Here is a 22,756-nt window from a genome sequence, read left to right as displayed (position 1 = left end):
AGCCCAAGAGAGTTCTAAACCCTAAAAATGCTATAATTTTGGTAATAAAGAACTGGGCCCCAGGGAATAATTACTCAATTTTAAATGGCTGCCTCAACTGGAGGATTTTTAAAATAAATCCTGCTGATGGTTTCAAGATAGTCTTAAAGGACTAGAGTTACCTCAAGAAAGCTATCAAAGACATGTGTCCTCAATTAAGTCTGAAATCTTTGTTTCTTCTAAATCAGATGTGTAAACTTGGCAAGTGACATCCACTTGTAAACAGCACATTATTCCTGGTGTAATGCACAATTACTCTCTTAATTTTACCATGAGATCCAGAGTTAGATACATGCATTTACCACCTTATTACCTAAGTGTACAACATAAGAGCAGAGATTTTTGTTTGATTTGTTCATGTGTGCAAATCATTAGCAATTAGTGAATGCTACACAATTAAATTACATACAAAAATGAGTTAATTTCTCTCATTCATTTAGATATAAGGTTCAACTATAAATACAGTGAAATATAAATAAGATATTATGCCCAAAAATACAAATTCTAAATATTCCCATAGGGACAAAGTAATAATTATTGTGGGAATAACAACTTTAAATTTCCTAAGTTGTTATTGGATACAAATGGATACTTAACCTTTAAGGTGCAAAACCTTATATTGGAGTTCCAGTTTCCACATTTAGCCCTAAAGCACTGTAATCTAGAAACCATACAGTATCTTATTCTCTGAAGAAAGTTAGTCATTAAAAACACCTTCATTTGGTTAGTTTCTGGACATAGTACTTCCTGTTTTTCTTCCTGGGGGGAAAAAAAAAACAAACTAGAATCTCTGGAATCCATGCTACAAAATTTTAACTTAAGTCTATACTTCAAGCAATTAAGGTTTCATATAAATCAGAAAACAAATCTAGTTAAAGTAGAATTCCAACTATAATGAGTGACATAATGGCAAAATTCCATTGTAGTTTTAAAAGATCTGCTGTAACTAAAAACCACATTAGAACTTCAAGCATTTATGGATATATCTTCAAATTCATTCTCTCCATTGAATCATTCCTTCCCCTAAATGTACTTAAAATTTTCATAGTCATCTTTTCTAAGGTTCTTTAATTCTACAGAATGTGTGCTCTATTTGCTGCTTGATACTTTACACTAAAAGGCATCCCAAACACAGAAATATCTACAAACTCAGGATGTACATGTTCCATTAACGACATTTTAAAGGTGACAAGATGATAAGAAATCATTTCCTTGAATTTTATCCCATATCTAAGACTTCCAGAATATTTTTTTTTCAGTCTCTCCTTTTACCCCTGGAGCTAGGGTGAAAAAAAAAGAGAACAGGTATCAGTGTGGATGCTGCTAACATAAGCACACAGATATGCAAGTACTTGGCAGGAGGGAGAAAAGGGGAAGGACAAAAGAAATGACAGCAGGGAGAGGAGACTGGTCTTGCTGATTCATAAAATGCTTGGCTTAATGGGACATTTGGGCAGTGATATTATTTTGAAAACATTTATGCTAAAGCTTCTTTTGTAGTATATCAAATTAAGAAAAGGTCATATAGGTTGATGCAACTAAGTAAATTATATTACAAAGAACAAGTTACAAAATACAATAATGCAGATGTGGCCTACCCTATAAACTACCTCCATGTCAAATCTGGATACCTCTCTTTAGACAGATAATTTATGTAGTATTTCTGATGCACCATTATCCCATTACATTCTTATACAGTATGTTTTTTACTAGCTATTTTTCAGGTAAATGTCATTCAGATTTTTTAACCTATCTCATATACCTCATAATATATGAGATATTTTATGAAACCTCATAATAAAGGGTATCTATATACCCTTTATTTTCTAAAATGTAATTTTTCAACATACAGCATCCATCAGGATATCTGGAGTAAGACTTCAGTATGTTTCTCTTTATGAATTGCTTTTTAAACTTTACCTCCAACAGAATATTCTTAAACTGTTTAAAGTTACAGTCTTTTGAAAAATCTTGGCATGTATTTGTAGCAGTACCTCTGGAAAAAAGACTGGAAGCCTTCTTAATGTAAGAAATTTCTTCCGTCTGTTGCTCCACCAGCACCACCATCCCAACCCCCATTTATCACTCAGTACTAGGCACTCCAGGTCAGGAATGCAAAAAAAAAGCAAAGAAAAGATGGGTGAGGGCTTGGTGGCAGTATTAGTAAAGACCACTAACACAAAAGCTAACGAGAACATAATAATTGTCGGGGGGAAAATAGCTAACACCACTAATCCAAACGTCTATAAACATAAAAACAAATACAGAATTTTCAAAACAGAAGACGATAAATTAATGAGAAAACAAACTGAGTTCAAGACTTCAGAGCAAGACAAATTACATCTAAATTACATCTAACCAAGAATAAAAACACATTGTCAATAGGAGCCTGGAAACACTGTCAGGGTTCCCCACCAGTCAAATGTAAAGACAGCAGAAAGACCCCAGCAGTTTACCACAAGAGCCTCTACTTCATGTTGCCCTGGTCAACATTTTTATCAACCACTTGGGATGGACTCAAAGGTATGATCAGTAAGGATAATAAGGAGACAACAGCCTGACAGGATCACTAATTCCCAGAGCAGATGAAAGGTTCAGAAGGATTCAGCAGGCAGAACAAGGAGCAGATATAAAATAATCCACAAAAGAAAAAATATAAAGCACTGCCAAGGGTCAAAAAAATAAGCTGCCCATCTATAACGTGAGGCCTTGCTGATGAGCAATCAATCCATGTGAAATAAAACATCAAGTATGTCACAGACAGATGCTGTCTATAAAAGAAACCAATAACAAAAAATCAACTTGGGCTGTACTCATCAAATTACAGTTTTTAAACCTTCTTAGCATGCCTTGTGCTGCTCACTTCCTATCTGAAGTATTATATGCTTTTCTGAGAATCACATTTTTAAAGTGGCAATGAAAAACTGGAACATTTCAGGAAAGCTAGCATAATTGTGAAGGGTCTGAAATCACATCAAAGAGGGAGGGAGGGCAGACAGAGCTTTTGCAGCATAACTGGAAAGAGAACTGACATAATTCTTGTTCAATATCTAAAGATTTGTCACATAAAAAATGAAAAACATAGAATTAGGACTACAGGAGGGCAAGGAATGCATACACTATGAAAAGCTACCTAATATTAAGTTGCTCAAAACTACCTTGAAAACCAACGGTTCCCCACCTCTAGAGTGGACGCCAAGCAAAGGCTGAACACAGACAAATGGAGATGTAATGGCGACCTGTCAAGACTGCTTCAAAGATCACGTCCATGCCCCTCAGGAAGGTTGCACAAAGCTACTTCCAACCCTGTGATTCCGTAATTCTGGAGATCATCTATACCCCCGAGTGTACAGGTAGGAAAACTAAAGCCAGATCTGCAAACTGCCTTGTTTAGTTATAACAATCATTAAACAGCAAAACCAGGACCAGAGGGCAGTTTTCCAGGGTCCCAGATTTGTGCTCTTTACTCTGTTCCAATCTTTTCACTCCAGGTATCAGGCCAACCTGACCAGGCCACCTACAGAGGAAGTATTTTCTTCTTACAAGTTCATTCAGACGTGGGAAGTAGAAATTGGAGAAACCAATTACAGTGTTTAGGACAAGAGATTTTGATTGTTTTTCATTTCTTTTTGTAATGTTCAAAGTTACTCAGATAGCCAAAGAAACACCAACCCTGAATGTACACTGATACTGTACATGTGTCCCCACTAAGAATTTAGCTCTGAGGGCTTTGTAACCAGAGGATTCTGGTCCCTCAGGAACACGAAGATGAAGCCTCACTGTGCTTAAACCTTCTGTCCAACTCAGTAGGTGTTGACAGATTGTGGAAAAGGCAAAAGAAGGTCTTATGTTTTCACTTCAGTCAAAAGACAGAGATGGAATCTGTTCTGGTAAATAAAGAGGAGATTTCAGTATGTGAGACAAACTGGAATGCCAATGTTAGTAATTTTCTCAACGAAGTCACATATTAGGATTTAATCCATAATTAGACAAACTCAGTGTTTTCAAATAAAACACATTTTTCAAATAATAGACACTGATTATCTTTAAAAAAAAAAAAAAAAAAAACATACACAGCCAGGCGCAGTGGCTCACACCTGTAATCCCAGCCCTTTGGGAGGCTGAGGCGGGTGGATCACCTGAGGTCAGGAGTTTGAGACCAGCCTGCCCAACATGGAGAAACCCCGTCTCTACTAAAAAAATACAAGAATTAGCCTGGCATGGTGGCATGCGTCTGTAGTCCAAGCTACTTGGGAGGCTGAGGCAGGAAAATCACTTGAAACCAGGAGGCGGAGGTTGCAGTGAGCAGAGATCGCACCACTGCACTCCAGCCTGGGTGACAGAGCGAGATTCTGTCTCAAAAAAAAAAAAAAAAAAAAAAAAAAAACAACTATACACAACTTGCTCTCCTTCAGCCCCCTGCCCTACCATTCCGCCATAAGCTCAAGGTCATCCTTCCTTCTCTCACTAAAAAGCATCCTAATGACACCAGTACACAAATTCAGTTTGCTTCATAACTCAGAGAAATTTATTCTCAGAACTGAAATTATACAATGTTTACTTTAATCCTAAAATCAAAATTGTAATGAACCTCTGCTGGGGCTAATCAGGTACCACAATACTGTGCTATGCATTTTTTAAGCACGTTGATAAATATTTTATTGAATTTTACAGATAAGGAAAAACGAGGTTCCAAGAGATTAAGTTACTTGCCCAGGGTCAAGAGTTACTAAGTGCTGGAACCAGGATTCAAATGCAGAACTTAAGGCTCCCAAATCTTAAACACTATACAACATTGCCTGGCTAGTTGCTCAAGGAGAGCTGATGCTATAAAGGCGGCAGTCCCCAACCTTTTCGGCACCAGGGACCGATTCATGAAAGACAATTTTTCCATGAACTAGGGGTAGGGGGATAGTTTCAGGATGAAACTGTTCCACCTCAGATCATCAGGAATTAGATTCTCATAAGGAGTGTGCAACCTAGATCCCTTGCATACACAGTTCACAATAAGGTTCACCCTCCTATAAGAATCAGAATCTCTGCTGATCTGACAGGAGGCGGAGCTCAGGCAGTAATGCTCAATTGCCTGCCACTCACCTCCTGCTGTGTGGCCCAGTTCCTAGAACGCCAGGGACCTGTAGGGTTCCATGGCCCCAGGGGTTGGGGACCCCTGCTGTGAGACTCCACACTTCAACTGGAACCACAGCAAGAGAGCAGGGCCCAAGATCACTTAAGAGTTTCACAGGTATCAGATGGCAAGAAGTCCCATTCTCTGAAATACTATTGAGATTCTATTTTGCAACCAGAGGCTTACAGGACAGCAGGGAAGACTAAGTATAGACATGAAAATGATATTCCTTTTGTTTTGAAGGTAAAGTGGGAAGTCTCTTAATAGTTACATTAATAGGTAAATTTCATTTCTTTCTGTGCTAGGCACTGCGACCAAACTCCTTTTCTGTTCCCTCTCAACGTGGATTAAGTAGATTTGGACCATAAAGCCCATTCTCTACACTTGGAGTTAGTGAGCTAAAAAGGCAATAAGGACTCCATCCCCTTCAGAAGTCACTCACAACAAAAGATTTAATTCAAAATTTAGGTGAAGATTACTTCTATGCTAAAATTTTAGGAGTCATTTAACATTTTCCTTTAGTATGTTTGATTATAATTTTCAATGTGTGTGCTACTTTTGGAATTCTTTTAAAGGTTCATGTTTTTAAAACAAAGTAAACTGCCTCTTAAAAAAAAAAAGTCACTCACAACTACTTGGCTGTCACTGATGGGCTGTGCATGCCACAGTCCCTGGAGGACCCTACTGCAGGGCTGATGATTCACAGCACGTGCAGACCAACAAAAACAAACTGCCATTTTTCTCCTGAAATGAGGATTTATAGTCATGATTGCCACCCCCTGGGGGCACTTCACTGACTCCCTAATATAACACTCAAGGTGAATCTGATTAAAATCTAATTTATCAGTGGTAAATCCAATGTATTTAAATTTAAGAAAACTCATTTTGATTACATAAAAACATTTGTATAAGATGTTTTAGATATATATACAGTATTACACACAACTGGGATAATGTTTTTGGCGGACAGGAAGGTACAGCCTGAACTAATTTAATGGTTTTTAGATTGAGTCTAAACCAATGTCCAAAACTGAAAAACCTGGTTATTTCATACAACAAACAAATTCAGGCAAATATTGACAATATGGCAACAGAACTTAGTTCTAGTACCACATCTTACTGCTGAATATTGGGACAATCATGGGTAAGTCATTACCCTCTCTGAGAAGCAGTTCCCTACCTAACCTGTAAATTGGTAACAGTCATTTTAAACTCTGTAAGGGCAAACAAATTTATTGTTATTATGTTTATAATACTCCTAAGAGAATAACTATGTCCACTTCAACAATTTAATAAGGAATATTTGGAAGACATTAGACGGATAATTCATTTAACTCCCCTTTCTCCCAAAAAAATCTGTGTTTTCTGTATATTTTTTATTTAGCAACAGGTAAAAATTTTAACCAAAAACTTAATTTTAAAATGTTTAATTAATTTTAAAGTGTAGATAACCCACCAACCTTGGTAAACTATTTAAACCAGGCCAATATGAATGAAACTAAAATATGACACTATGCCATTGAAAAAAGAATCTGCCACCAACACTGCCATCTTACATTTGTTCAGAATTTCCAAGTTAAATACAATGTTGTATTCACATTTGAATGAAAACATTCAATTCTCTTTTTTTTTTTTTTTTTTTGAGACAGAGTCTCACTCTGTCACCAGGCTGGAGTGCAGTGGCGCGATGTCGGCTCACTGCAACCTCTGCCTCCCGGTTCAAGTGATTCTCCTGCCTCAGCCTCCTGAGTAGCTGGGACTACAGGTGTGCGCCACCATACCCAGCTAATTTTTGTATTTTTAGTAGAGACAGGGTTTCACCATGTTGGCCAGGATAGTCTCGATCTCTTGACCTTGTGATCCGCCTGCCTCAGCCTCCCAAAGTGCTGGGATTACAGGCGTGAGCCACTGCACCTGGCCAAAAAACATTCAATTCTCAAAATAAATATGCATGGTCAGGAAGGTTACGTGTTGCTGGGATAATTTTACAAATGAGGAAGATGAAGGTGATAAAGAAAAGTAATAGATCCAAAGCCCACAGCTAGCAGTGCTGGTGTAAGTAGAAGCTAAACCCAGCCTTCTGGTTCGCCCTGCCCAAGATCACGTCTGCCTCCAAACACCAGACTGTACTTTCCAATCTCGGTTTATCTGTAGACTTGTACAGAAGCACAAACTCTCCAGATCTTTTAGTTTCCAAGCAATATACTGATCTAATAAATGATTTAGAATGCCTTAAATCAATACCTCCCATAAAAAAAAAAGTAGAGCTTAATAAAGTATTCAAAGTCAACAGCCCACTACACCCCCACCTGCACTGAGTAAAGCAATTTTCTTTACTACATCTAAATAATTTTGTAGAAAAATAAATTCTCTGAGAACACTCTACTATCAGATAACTAATGTAGTTCATGGCCTACTGTGGCTTACTTATAAAAACTTTGCTTAAAAGGTCAAGTGAATAGAATGTCTTAATTTATAAATTAGAAATTATAAATATTAATCTTTCCTGATATATCAAAAAGCAGCATAGAAATTTTTAACCAAGTGTTTTTTAATTTTTGATATCCATTTTGTTTTAAACTCATGTTTTTAAAAAATCAGTTACTGAGCTATCATCATGTGTATAGCCCTGTGCTCATTTAATCAATTAAACCGTTGATTTTTATCTTAACTCTGATATTGCTTAACTCAGTATTCGAACATGACACCCTGATAGATCCATATCTGTGTACAGGTATGAATGGGGGGAAAAAAATCAATGCACAGCAAATGGCCTTTTTTTTGCACTGCACAAAGACTGCTCTTACTCTTTACATAGCCTGCTGTCTGTCCTCTCTTGGTCTGTCAGGTAAGACTGGGCAAGGACACACCCAGTGCCCCCCCACCAACACACTTTTATACCTTCACCAAGTTGGACCACCTAGATAAGTTGTCTTAGCACTGAGAAGTTACACAATCTGACTGAAATTGTGCCCCCTTTATTAAAAGATTCTTTCTGCTCACCTTCCAGGCCATGAGAGCACTGAAAGGAGGATGAGTTGCATTATAAATGTACCCCCTTTGGTACTAATGCTTAACACATCCCCTAACTTATAAAAGTGATTTTATAACTCCCCAAAATGAGCACAATGGGCTTTCATTTGTTCATCATGACTGTGCCCATAAATCAAAGCACAGAGCTAATTAAAGCCTCATGATGGTAGTCTTCTGTCCCCAGAGGATCAAGTTCAACTCCTCAACACGGCACACAACGTCCACTATGGTCTGACCTGCCATAGTGCAGAGGGTCCTGCACTACCCTCTTCTAACACTTAGTACCCCCTGTAGCAGCTGTGCAGAATCTGAATTGGAAAAAGGGGGTAACTGTTTCACACTCCATTTTTGCACAAGCTTTACTTGCTGCCTAGAATGCCTTTCCATACCCCCTCCTCTGGCCAACCACCTGTAAGCCCTCCTAACAGTATTTGCCTTGTTAATTCCTTTCATTTGCCATTACTGAATCCAAGTGTCCCTTTCTCTTTTGGACAACTTCACAGATCCTCAGGAAGAACTGATAATTCCCCCCTCATATATATCATATACACCATTCAGAGGGTACTTAATGTGAGTCATCTTACTTTCCACCCAGTGAGCCCCAAGAAGATGGGGAAAAGGTCTGAGTCAGCTCTGAATTCCCAGGACTCACCCAGTGCTGGTATAAATCAAACAGTCAATACTGGAGGAAGAATTAATATTGCTTAGCAGGCCAGGCAATTCTTCCCATGCTGGGGGTGCCAGGGTGCAAGCAGTCAGGACTTGGCTGAGTCTTCACTCCCAGCCCTGGAGAAGACACTGCCTGACAGCCCAGGGCACATGCCCAGAGACAAGGGCACACTCTCCCAAAAAGGAGCACTCCAAGCGGGATGTGCCAGACAAGGAAGGAGTGAGGAGGCAGACACTGCACTAGCACTTCCTGGGAGTACTGGTGCAACCTAAAGGATGGGAATTTTCTTTTAATCATAAGAGCTTGCCTTTTATCTCCATTTATATGGCTTTGTCTCCTATATTCATCAATAAATGGCTGCTCTGTAATAGAAATAATTTAATCAAACAGAGCATCAATATAAATATTCCCCAAACTAAAACAAAGTCCTTACCTATGCAAAATTCAACCAGCCAACAATGTTCCTATCCCACCCCTAGCACTAGAACATTCCATATACTTTGACTCAGGGGTTGCTTGCTTCTATTTTATACATCATATAATAAGGTTGGTTATATTGTTTCCAAGCCCCCTGTAGATTAAAAGCCGCATATCTGGAAAAGACCTAAAGAAGAAGACAAAAAATTTACAAAAAACCAGACCCAAGAACCCTCAAGTCTAGCAATCTGAATGATTTTTGCCCTACTGGATGCACAGTACATTCCGTCTAAAAGTACATTTTTTTTTTTTTTTTGAGATAGTTTCGCTCTGTCACCCAGGCTGGAGTGCAATGGCGCCATCTCAGCTCACTGCAACCTCCGCCCCCCGAGTTCAAGTGATTCTCCTGCCTCAGCATCCTGAGCAGCTGGGATTACAGACATGCGCCACCACGCCCGGCCTAAAAGTAGGTTTTTAAAGGCACAAATTATCAGCTTTCTGGGAGCGCTGACTATAAAAAAATTAAACATTTCTCAATATATTCCTATAAAGCATAACTATATGTAAAATAAAATTATATAAGCAATTCTACTTCTAGAAATTTGCCCTCAGAATGTAACTGGGCAAGATGAATACACCAATAATGTTTATTGTAGAATTGTTCATAATAGTGAAAAACTGAATACCTATTAAAAAGGTATTGAGAGGCCGGGTGCAGTGGCTCACGCCTGTGGTCCCAGCACTTTGGGAGGCTGAGGCGGGTGGATCATGAGGTCAGGAGTTCAAGACCAGCCTGACCAGTGTGGTGAAACCCCGTCTCTACTAAAAATACAAAAAAAAAAAATTAGTCGGGAGTGGTGGTGTGCGCCTGTAGTCCCAGCTACTCGGGAGGGCTGAGGCAGGAGAATCGCTTCAACCTGGGAGGCGGAGGTTGCAGTGAGCCAAGATCGCACCACTGCACTCCAGCCTGGGTGACAGAGCGAGACTCTGTCTCAAAAAATAAATAAATAAATAAATATAAAAAGGTATTGAGAAACAGATTTTATATATATATATGAGAACACAACATGGCCATTTTAGATCATATTCATTAACAGGAGAAAACAGCCAAAGTATTGAGTTAAAAAATAAAGGCTGATGGGCCAGGCGCGGTGGCTCACACCTGTAATCCCAGTGCTTTAGGAGGCCGAGGTGGGCAGATCACCTGAGGTTGGGAGTTCGAGACCAGCCTGACCAACATGGAGAAACCCTGTCTCTACTAAAAATACAAAATTAGCAGGGGGTGGTGACGGATGCCTGTAATCCCGGCTACTCAGGAGGCTGAGGCAGGAGAATCACTTGAATCTGGGAGGCGGAGGTTGCGGTGAGCTGCGATCACGCCATTGCACTCCAGCCTGCGTAAAAACACCGAACTCCATCTCAATATAAATAAATAAATAAATGCCGGTAAACAGAATGTGAAGTTATATAACTTTACTCACATTATATCATGAGAGTGGCACGTGTGTATGTTTTGGTATGTGCATGTGAGCACACATGCGTGCATATTATCAAACTGTTAAGAGTGACAACTCCTGTCTCACCAAACTGTTAACTGTGATTTTTGCTTCCTCACAATTTTCTGTGTTGTCTGAATTCCCTACAGAAAGATAGATTTTCATATAATCATTTAAAAAAATTTTTAAAGACATATTCCAGAACAGGCATATTCATCACAAACACCACTTTACAGGATAAAAGATACAGGAGAAAAAGGTATATAGATGCATGTCTGTAGCCAGTTTGGATGCAACTACCATGTGTTGCTTTCCGTCTTTCTCCAATACTACTAGAGAAATCAGCAGAAAGCTATAGACTCATCACTGCAAATTCATCAACACTACTAGAAAACACAACATTGAAAGTTAGAGTATCTATACATAAAGATATCTCACATAACACTCCAGCCACCCTATCAATGTCACAGTTTTCTTAGTTCTATCTGGAAAAAGTACTTCATCAAATTTTCAATGTCAAAACACGAATGCATGTCAATCTATGAGGGAAATACAATCTTGAAGGAAAATATACACAAAATGAAGGTAGACCCGTACAAGCCCACTGGATGGCAAAGAGGATCCCTGGCTCAAAAAGTTTTGAAAATACCATTTTTTGCTCTACCGGCAGGATTTGATGGCATGATGTCTCACAGAAGGTTCTCCGCTCCCAGACATGGGTCCCTCGGCTTCCTGCCTCAGCAGCGCAGCAGGAAGCATCATGGGAAGGTGAAGAGCTTTCCTAAGGATGACCCTTCCAAGCTGGTCCACCTCACAGCCTTCCTGGGATACAAGGCTGGCATGACCAACATCATGCGGGAAGTCGACAGGCCAGGATCCAAGGTGAACAAGAAGGAAGTGATAGAGGCTGTGACCATTGTGGAGATACCACCCATGGTGGTTGTGGCCATTGTGGGCTTCGTGGAAACCCCTCGAGGCCTCCAGACCTTCAATACTGTCTTCGCTGAGCACATCAGCGATGCATGCAAGAGACATTTCTATAAAAACCGGCATAAATCTAAGAAGAAGGCCTTTACCAAGTACTGCAAGAAATGTCAGGATGAGGATGGCAAGAAGCAGCTGGAGAAGGACTTCAGCAGCATGAAGAAGTACCGCCAAGTCATCTGCATCATTGCCTACACCCAGATGTGCCTGCTTCCTCTGCACCAGAGGAAGGCCCACCTGATGGAGATCCAGGTAAAGGGAGGCACCATGGCCAAGAAGCTGGACTGGGCCCACGAGAGGCTTGAGCAGCAGGTACCTGTGAACCAAGTGTTTGAGCAGGACAAGATGATCGACGTCATCAGGTTGACCAAGGGCAATGGCTACAAAGGGGTCACCAGTCGTTGGCACACCAAGAAGCTACCCCACAAGACCCATCGAGGCCTGTGCAAAGTGGCCTGTACTGGGACACAGCATCCTGCCCCTGTGGCCTTACCTGTGGCATGCATTTGGCAGAAAGGTTACTGTCACAGCACTGAGATCAACAAGATCTATAAGATCAGCCAGGGATACTTTGTCAGGGACAGCAAACTGATCAAGAACAATGCCTCCACTGACTATGACCTGTCTGACAAGCCACCCTCTGGGGGCCTTTGTCCACTATGGTGAAGTGACCAATGACTTTGTCATGCTGAAAGACTGTGTGGTGGACACCAAGAAGCAAGTGCTCACCCTTCACAAGTCCTTGCCAGTGCCAACCAAACGGCGGCCTCTGGAGAAGATTGACCTTAAGTTCATTGACACCACCTCCAAGTTTGGCCATGGCTGCTTCCAGACCATGGAGGAGAAGACAGCATTCATGGCACCACTCAAGAAAGACCGAATTGCAAAGGAAGAAGGAGCTTAATGCCAGGAACAGTTTTTGCAGCTGGTGGGGTCTTAAAAGTTATTTTCCACTGGAAAAAAAAAATACCATTTTTGAGATAGCATTCTGACAATGCTCATTCACAAAAGTTTTAACTTTTGTAGGCTCTCCAGAGCAAGGGGCAAATTCAAGGAGGAGCGGAAAAAAGACAGTACAAGCAAATGAGAACTTACATTTTCACTTTAAAAATATTTTGGAAAACACTAAAAATATTTCTGTCATAGATTCAAATTTAATACTGGAGGAATAAGGTATCTGAAGGTATCTAATCTTAAAAAATTATGATTTGAGTACAATGCTAGTCACATTATTTCTGAATTCTAGTAATTTTATTCCTTATAAAAGGCACAAGAGGATTAAAAAGTATGGGTTAATTACAGCAACCTTCTTAGTCAAAATAAATAGCACAGAAAAAAATGAACTTTAAAAAACAAATATGGTAGATTACTCTGAAATGTCACAATATCATTACAGCACAGTAGCTGCCCATGAATACTTTTGCGAAGGTGTGATGTATACGTAGACAGGCAGACGACTGGCTGGCAGGCAGATAGGCAGGCAGGCTGACAGAGAAAAGGAAAGAAGATATGGAATGAAGATGAAGAAAGGGACTCTACAGCAAATGGAAAAAAGAAAGAAAAATTCTATTCTGTCTCATGCTGCAGATGCCCTCAGGAAATGTCATTAATGACACGTTCTCATTACAGAAATTCCCTAGATTGGTCAGAGAACCTGCTTTTTTTATTCCCAGATCAAAAACTACATGCACTCTTTTGTACATCAAGGCTCATGCATATACAGCACATGGCTAAGAAATTATTCTCTGCCCAGCATGTCCTCATCAAGATATATCTGTGGCCTGCTATAACCTCTACTGACAACACTGACAGTTGCACAGGAAGACCAACACAAAGACAGAGCAAACAGACACACAACACATAATAAATCTGTCAAAATTGTATTCTGAGATTCAAGATTTTTTGGTCCACGTGATAATTTCCAAATGCATTTAGACCTTGAATCACTGAAGACTTTCTCGCTTTCCCAGCTTTTCTGTCAAGCTGCAGGATTCTTTTTTTTTTTTTTTTTTTTTTTGAGACTGAGTCTTGCACTGTCGCCTGGGCTCATGTGCAGTGGTGCAATCTCGGCTGGCTGCAACCTCCACCTCCCAGGTTAAAGCAATTCTCCTGCCTCAGCCTCCCGAGTAGCCAGGATTACAGGCACCCACCACCATGCCCAGCTAATTTTTTGTATTTTTAATAGAGACAGGGTTTCACCATGTTGGCCAGGATGGTCTCGAACTCCTGACCTCGTGATCCGCCTGCCTCAGCCTCCCAAAGTGCTAGGATTACAGGCATGAGCTACCGCGCCCGGCCAAGCTGCAGGATTCTTAAAGCATCAAGAAAAGTACAGTATATTTGTACTTCAGGATACAAATGTGGTACCATGAAAACAAGTCTCTGGTGAGAGAGCACCTTCCCAAAAAGATAAGCCCCAACTAGATGAGAGGAAGCCCTACAGAGTGCCCTCAAAGGTGAAAGAACAAACCAAAATTCCACTGGCACGTGGTAACTTTCAGCATTTTTCATCTCTTCTCTCATTTCTTCTCCCTGAATGAGTTTGCAGGTATGTGTCCCGGTACACCAAAATGCATTTACAGAACTTTAAGTTACAAAGAATAAAGAAACACTGATCTAGAATATTCGAAAACCACATTAAAGGCAAAGTCCTTCTGATGACTCATGAACTAAGTTCAAAATTCCACAATTTTATCAAATTGTCGAATTTCATAATTGTTCCTACTTCAAACAATGGATGCAAACAGAATGGATCTCCATTTTAAGGTTTCCTTGCAGCAAAATGCCCAAAGCCACAATTCTGATCCAAGAAAACTCAAAGCTCTCAGTCACTACACAGCAAAGCAGTTAAGAGTATAGATATTTTTGAGCCACTGTGTGTTCAAATACTAGCTCTGCCATTTATTAGTTGTGTGGCCAAAGCCAAATTACTTAATATCTGTGCCTTGGTTTATCTCTCACAGGGTTGTTGGAAGTTTTAAATAAATTAATACATGTAAAGCCTTTATAACAGTATGCAGCACTTGATGTAAGTCTTTTCAAGGTTTTTTAAGAACTTAGCTCAAGCAAGGTTTTGAAATGTGAACTGTTCCAACTTCCAAGAGGAAAAGGAGAAAGTAGAGATGGTTTTGTAGGTTTTTTGTTTTGTTTTTCAAAGGATAGCTTTGACAGGCCACTAATTCAAACAATTTTAAATACACTTGTAGTGTTTCATGTGTTAAGTGCTTTGCCTTACAGTTCTAGAGTATAGACTTTTACAAACACACAACTGATTTAAAAAGCAGCACTTAGCCAGGCACGGTGGCTCATGCCTGTGATCCCAGCACTTTGTGAGGCTGAGGTGGGTGGATCACATGAGGCCAGGAGTTTGAGACCAGTCTGGCCAACATGATGAAACCCCATCTTTACTAAAAATACAAAAATTAGCTGGGCATCATGGTGGGTGTCTGGAATCCCAGCTACTCAGGAGACTGAGGCATGAGAATCACTTCAGCCCGAGAGGCGGAGGTTGCAGTGAGCAGAGTTCATGCCACTGCACTCCAGCCTGGGCAACAGAGCAAGACTCCATCTCAAAAAAAAAAAAAAGAGAGAGAGAGAGAAAGGGTAAAATATCACTTCTGTAAAACTTAGGTAGTAGGAAAGTGCTTTTCTCCCCCCCTCAAAGAGGGAGTCTCGCTCTGTCACCCAGGCTGGAGTGCAGTGGCATGATCTCGGCTCACTGCAACCTCCACCTCCTGGGTTCAAGCAATTCTCCTGCCTCAACCTCCCGAGTAGCTGGGATTACAGGGATGCGCCACCATGCCCAGCTAATTTTTTTTTGTATTTTTAATAGAGACAGGGTTTTACCATGTTACCCAGGCTGGTCTCAAATTCCTGACCTCAGGTGATCTGCCCGCCTCGGCCTCCCAAAGTGCTGGAATTACAAGCATGAGCCACTGTGCCCAACCTAATTTTTGTATTTTTAGTAGAGGCAGAGTTTTGCCAAGTTGGCAATCCTCCTACCTCAGCCTCCCAAGTAACTGGGACCACAGGTGCATGCCACCACACCTGGCTAACTTTTTTATATGTTTTGTAGAGATGGGGTTTCACCACATTGCCCAGGCTGGTCTCAAACTCCTGAGCTCAAGCAATCCACCTGCCTCAGCCTCCCACAGTGCTGAGATTAAAGGCATGGGCCATCACACATGGCCCTTTTTCTCAATTTCTTACATTTGAAATATCCCATTATTTTATTTAGTGCAGGGGTGATAATTAAAATAATCGTAAGTTTCATCAGCATGAAATATGGAAGAGAACATGGAATGGACACAACCCTAGTTTTCAGGCAACTTATATAAATATGCTGTTTGGTTGGGGCAGCCAATTTACTGTATCTTATTACTGATATTATCCATTTGCTGACTGGGGGAAAGTGTAGATTTCTCCCAAAAGCAGATGGCCAATCTACCATAGAAAGCTATTTTCTGACATAAGCAACTACCAGCAGAGAAGTAAACTCTCAATAATCAGAACAAGTCCTTTTGAACTCTATAGAATGCTCATTATCAATATCATAAATAATACAACAAAAGGCAAAGGCTCCCTTGAAAAGAGTCTTAACAACTAAAGATAAAGGAACCGGCCCATAAATGAGTGGTTGGTAGAGGGCATTTGGCAGGAGCACGTGGATAAAGAGCCTCAAAAATAAAATGAGAGCTAGTAATGTTCTCTGAGACAGTAAACTGTTCAAAAGTATGAAAAACATCTTTAAAACCCACACAAAGGGATTTTTAAAACAGGAAAATCTATTAACCCACACGTTGTTGGGTTATTTTTCTTAAGTACACACATGTTTTGGAAACTTCAGAATCTCAAAATATATTCCTGATTAGCAACACTCAAGTTTCCAGCTGCCTTTACATTTGTTCACTTTGTCAAAGCCCTAATTCTACCAAAGTCCTTTGTCCTGTACAAATGCCAGCTCAGCTCACCTTACTAGAAAGGCTCTTCTGGTTTTGTCAGCTGTGCCCATGATAAGCAGCTGGGGAGTATGGAAAAACCATTAACCATTGACTGAAAAAGAGGGTAGCCATGGAGTTTCACCATTTGTTGCAGAAGTGGTTATAAAAAAAATGTAAATCAAAAAATGAAATTAAAAAGACTATTCATTGCTCCACACCTGCTCCAAAAAGCTTTGCAATCACCAATCCATGTAAAACAGCCACAGCCCAATTAAAGGAAGCATTAATCCTTGCTTAAACAGAGAGAGAAAAAAACTAACAAGGTACAAAGCAAAGGCAAATCACTCCGGGCAAATAACTCAGAAGCAGGAAGAGAAATGTCCACAGATGCACTGGGGATAAACCAAAGGTCTTTCTGAGGTCTGTGTTTCCCTGATGTAGTACTCTAAATGTATGGCATATCCAGGGCAGAGAAACATCAATTTGGAATGTATGCAGGAGAGCTTTTTACAACTTCAAAGCATTGAAATGTGTTCCTAATTAGTATGAAATATATGAAAACCAAATGCAGATTAGGCCTCAAATATTTCCCATCTTTAGCATAGTCCAATTGCTGGGCAATAGTGCCACTGTTTCCATTCCCTCCTATGCCTACCTGTGCCCACCACCTCAAGAAGTGTGGCTATTGGGAGGGTTCTCCCCCTGAGCCTGTGCAAGAACCCCACTGAAAACCCCACATCCAAAGCTGGCCATGAGTCGAATCCAATCAGGCACCAACAGTCTGGGGTGTTTGCCTCTATTCGAAAGACAAGAGAGCCAGTGGACATCATCACTATGGCTAGCAGGATTATGCACACCCTGGGGCACAGGGGCTGAGGGAAGCCTCCCAAAAGAACTGAATGGATTTTCAATGAAGAAGCCAAGTAAACTACGCTGCCTGGTTATGTTAGACAGTATGTGCTATACAGAGGATGTGCATTCTAGTATGAAACAATGAAAGAGAAAAGAGCATTAACATTGATAGAATGCCAATGCAGGGGCCAAGATACTAGAAACAAATTATCTCAATTAATGCAACTGAGGCCCACAGGAGTTAAAAACTGGCCCCAGGTCACAATGGTAGTAATGGCTAAAACCAGGATCTAAACTCAGGTCTAACTACAAATTAAGTGTTCTTTCTGTCAAATCGGATGCCTTTCATTATTCTTCTCATTTATCATGCCGCCCTGAAATAGTTAAGCTTCAACTATGGTCATCTATAAAGGTGATGTCAAACTCAAGAGTGAGCCGAGAATTTCCCGGACAACCCAGGAATACATGCTGGCTTGGGAGAACTCCTTTAAACTCTAAAATGTTTCCCTTTTACCACTTTTGATAAAAATATTTCTCAAAATATTTGTCTTCTTGAAGAGAATATACCAAACACCATTAACCAGTATTTGTGTTGTCCATGTCCATGGAGTTCTGCCATTAGAAATGACAGACTGCACTGCACCTTAGAGATGGAAGGGGCTGCACAGACCACTTAGTCAAACCCCAGGACTGCAGGAGTTTCCTCCAAGATTTTTTTTTGAGACGGAGTCTCACTCTGTCTCCCAGGTTGGAGTGCAGTGGCACGATCTCAGCTCACTGCAACCTCCGCCTCCCGGGTTCACGCCATTCTCCTGCCTCAGCCTCCTGAGTAGCTGGGACTACAGGTGCCTGCCGCCACACCCAGTTAATTATTTTTTGTATTTTTAGTAGAGACGGGATTTCACCATGTTAGCCAGGATGGTCTCGATCTCCTGACCTCGTGATCCGCCTGCCTCGGCCTCCCAAAGTGCTGGGATTACAGGTGTGACCCACCGCGCCCGGCCTCCTCCAAGATTTTTACAAGATGGCAGAGCAAAAAAAGTGAATATGAAAAGAAGGCCATTTACATATGGTCCAACAGACCTAAGATTTAAGCAGTTTGGGGGACACAAAAGTTCTAATATTCCATCAACATTCAAAGTCACCCCACCAGCACCTGAGTTTTATCCAAGCAAACAGAAACAATAATCTCACTAAAGCCAAACTGGTCGCCTATCCATCTTCACACTTTCTAAACCCCATAATCTCATGAATTCAGACTCAACTGTTCATCAGGTTTTATGAGAGTGGTGGCTTGTTTTAGCCTTTGTGAAACTTTCTTTCTTCCCTGCCCAGACTCAAAGGGCTATGTATACTTTTCACCACCATGCATGTTCTAAAAACTTTTATTCAGTTCAGAAGAATTCTTACCAGCAAAGATCAAAGAGCTCTGTTTTAGCAAAGAAAGCAACATTTTATCTGGCAGAATTCTTAGGTGTCAGTAAAGTAGTAGTGTTTCTCAGTAGAAATTTTTTTTTTTTTTTTTTTTTTTTGAGACGGAGTCTCGCTCTGTCGCCTAGGCTGGACTGCGGACTGCAGTGGCGCAATCTCGGCTCACTGCAAGCTCCGCTTCCCGGGTTCACGCCATTCTCCTGCCTCAGCCTCCCGAGTAGCTGGGACTACAGGCGCCCGCCACCGCGCCCGGCTAATTTTTTGTATTTTTAGTAGAGACGGGGTTTCACCTTGTTAGCCAGGATGGTCTCGATCTCCTGACCTCATGATCCACCTGCCTCGGCCTCCCAAAGTGCTGGGATTACAGGCGTGAGCCACCGCGCCCGGCCACTCTCAGTAGAAATATTACTGATGTTAGCATAAGTTTTTTGTTTTAAAAAATAAGATGTCCTATTACTTAAACCAATCCCAAAAGGTATTAGCATGTATAAGAAAAAGTTCTGGCCAGGTGTGATGGCTCATCCCTGTAATCCCAGCACTTTGGGAGGCCGAGGCAGGTGGATCACCTGAGGTCAGGAGTTCGAGACCAGCCTGACCAATATGGTAAAACCCCGTCTCTACTAAAAATACAAAAATTAGCTGGACGTGGTAGCATGTGCCTGTAGTCCCAGCTACTCAGGAGGACTTGAGAAGGAGGAAACAGGAGAACTACTTGAACTGGGGAGGCGGAGGTTGCAGTGAGTTGAGACTGCACCACTGCACTCCAGCCTGGGCAACAGAGCGAGATTCCGTCTCAAAAAAAAAAAGAGAAAGTTCTTCTACATCAGTAGGTACCAGATTAGAATAAGAAATATTAACAAATATTGTTATTTATCAACCTTTCCTGGTCTTCATTCACTCAAAATAAGATCAAGATTTCAATTATGACTACCGCCAGCTGCTGGAGGTAAAGAGAAAGCCAGCCAGGCACATGGTCCTCCACTCCCATCACCTGCCTTTCATTATCCTCCCACCTCCAGGCTGCCTAGATCTTTAACCCAGTGGGGTGGGGGCTGCTTGTCAGCTGCCTAGTCTCTTTGTTGACTGTACCTAGTTATTTTAGCACTATGCCTGAAACTTAAAAAGAAAGGAAATCCTAAATAGAAGCAAAATACAGGGTATCTGAAAATTCAATAAACATACAATAAACTTATTTTTTAAAAGTATGTAAGTTACATTTTCAAGTAAGATGATCACTGAATAACACACAATTTTCCCTGTGTGTCCAGACTTTTTGGAGACTGTATTTATTGTACCACTTTCAGGTTAAGAATGAGATTCGATGATTTGAAATTAAAGGAACTTCACCTGGAAAGGTGTTTGGAGATTAAAGAAAATAACACTGAGCATGTTATTTAAATGCATCCTATGTTCTCTGACTTTGCGGACATTCTGTATCTTAATCTGCTATAAATTAGCTCCCTAATTTCCTACCTACTTCCCCATGCACTCTAAACACCAAATTCTTTCTTTCTTTCTTTCTTTCTTTCTTTTTTTTTTATTTTTAGACAGAGTCTTGCTCTGTTAACCAGGCTGGAGTGCAGTGGCACGATCTCAGCTCACTGTAACCTCCACCTCCCAGATTAAAGTGATCCTCCTGCCTCAGCCTTCCGAGTAGCTGGGACTACCAGAGTGCACCACCATGCCCAGCTAATTTTTTTGTATTTTTAGTAGAGGGGGGTTTCACCATGTTGGCCAGGCTGGTCTCAAACTCCTGACCTCAGGTGGTCCACCTGCCTCAGCCTCCCAAAGTGCTGGGATTATGGGCATGAGCCACTGCGCCCAGCCCAAATTTTTTCTTTCTACACATAAGGCATCACGACTTTGCTGCTGTTATTTTGGAAAACTGAAGAAATTATTAAAGAAAGAACCGTTGGCATCATTAAAATCTAGTCAATTTTATTACTAATTGCTATGTAACTCTAGGTGAGTCCCTCATCATAAATAAAAATGCATCTTAAGATTATAAATGTTGATCAGAGTACCATGCCAAGGGGCAGCAGACTACTCAATTCCTTTGAAAAAATATCAGAGAAAAGTTGAGGTAGAAAGGATTGTCTCTTTCTAATCCAAAATATTAAAGATGCATTTTCTGGCTATTTTGTCACCAAATGACTGACAGCTATGTGTGGAGAGAATCGGCATGCATGACACAGCATGCAGGACCAGCCATCACCAGCCACACTTGTCTATCAGATGAACATGATGCTACTTAGTCTTGGTTGCATTCATCTGGAAAGGACCAGCTTTTGGCCTGCATTCCAGTTCTCATTTTCCTCATGTATCGGTATCACTCTACTGTCTATACCTCAACAAAAAAGAAAAAGTTTAGCAGGTGGACCTTTACTAGTACAACACGTTAGCTACAACCAAATTCATTTGTTATATCAAGAAAGATATATGCATTCTACTTCCACATGAAAAGCCTTAGTAAATTTTACATTTGTTTTGAACGGATTGTATTACATGTATCCACACAAAAAACTACTATATAATGCACTGTGTTGGAGGGATCTATTCACTCCACACTGCATGAATACCTCAATTACTAAAGGGAAAAAGAGCCCTTCTTGTGGCATTCAAAAGGGTGACTATATGGAGTTACAGCTGAACAACAGGGAAAAATATATCACTCTGATGATCAAAGAGGTAATATACTGTGTGTTAGTTTTCCATAGCCAAGTAGCCACATGTCACAGAACAAAAAAAACTATGGACAACTGCTCACCACTGAGGCAAGCATGTACTTTTATTCATCCTTTAATATGAAGCCATGACACACATAATGTTACTTTGAGCTTTGTGTAGGATAGATGTACCTTGCCTTATTTAAATTCAATAGAGTCATAAAGGAAAAAAATGCTGAAGATAATTTTCACTTTAAAAAAGAATTTGGAAAATACTCTTTAAAAAGTAAGTCCCAGAATGACTCATTCTACAAATATATTACATACTACAAGGAACAATAAATGTTTATGAATACACATAGCAGGGACTACAGGCGCTCACCACCACACCTGGCTAATTTTTGTTTTTTGTTTTATTTTGTTTTGTTTGAGACAAGAGGCTCACTCTGTTGCCCAGGCTGGAGTGCAGTGGCACGATCTTGGCTCACTACAGCCTCTACCTCCCGGATTCAAGTGATTCTCCTGCCTCAGCCTCCCGAGTAGCTGGGATTACAGGCACGTGCCACCACGCCCAGCTAAATTATTTTTGTATTTTTAGTGGAGACAGGGTTTCGACGTGTTGGCCAGGCTGGTCTTGAACTCCTGATTTCAGGTGATCCACCTGCTTCAGCCTCCCAAAGTGCTGGGATTACAGGCGTGAGCCACCACACCTGGCCTGTATTTTTTTTTTCTTTTTTTTTTTCTGTACTAGAAACTGCGTGTCGCCATGTTGCCCAGGCTTTCTTAACTCCTGGGTTCAAGCGATCCACTTGCCTCTGCCTCCCAAAGTGCTGGGACTATAGGCGTGAGCCACCTCGCCCGGCCCATAAATGATTTTATGCTTGTAGTAACAATTCTAAACCAGGGGTTAGCAATCTCTGGCATAAAAACCAAAGAGAGCAAAAGTCAACAGTGAAGACTTAATGGCCAGTGCATAACAGTATAATCTCCCTTGATTCAAGTTAACATTTTCCAGTAAACATTTCTTGAGTACCTGCTAGGTGCCAAACAGTCCTACCTGGATCAGCATTTCCTACACCTACACCTCCTGACTTGACACA

The 22,756-nt window shown here is 40.8% G+C and overlaps 1 protein-coding gene and 1 pseudogene across 1 annotated transcript in view; one reads left to right on the top strand and one right to left on the bottom strand.

The window, feature by feature from the left end:
* Positions 1 to 22,756, bottom strand: part of ZSWIM6 (zinc finger SWIM-type containing 6) — a 213,915-nt gene that overhangs the window by 142,834 nt on the left and 48,325 nt on the right. The gene's annotated exons all lie outside the window — the stretch shown is intronic.
* On the top strand, positions 11,442 to 12,723 carry RPL3P6 (ribosomal protein L3 pseudogene 6; annotated as a pseudogene).

The sequence above is a fragment of the Homo sapiens genome, chromosome 5 (genome assembly GCF_000001405.40).
Source record: "Homo sapiens chromosome 5, GRCh38.p14 Primary Assembly".
NCBI classification, from domain to species: Eukaryota; Metazoa; Chordata; class Mammalia; order Primates; family Hominidae; genus Homo; species Homo sapiens.
Note: the sequence above shows the minus strand (reverse complement) of the source record. Positions and strands in the feature narration are given on the sequence as shown.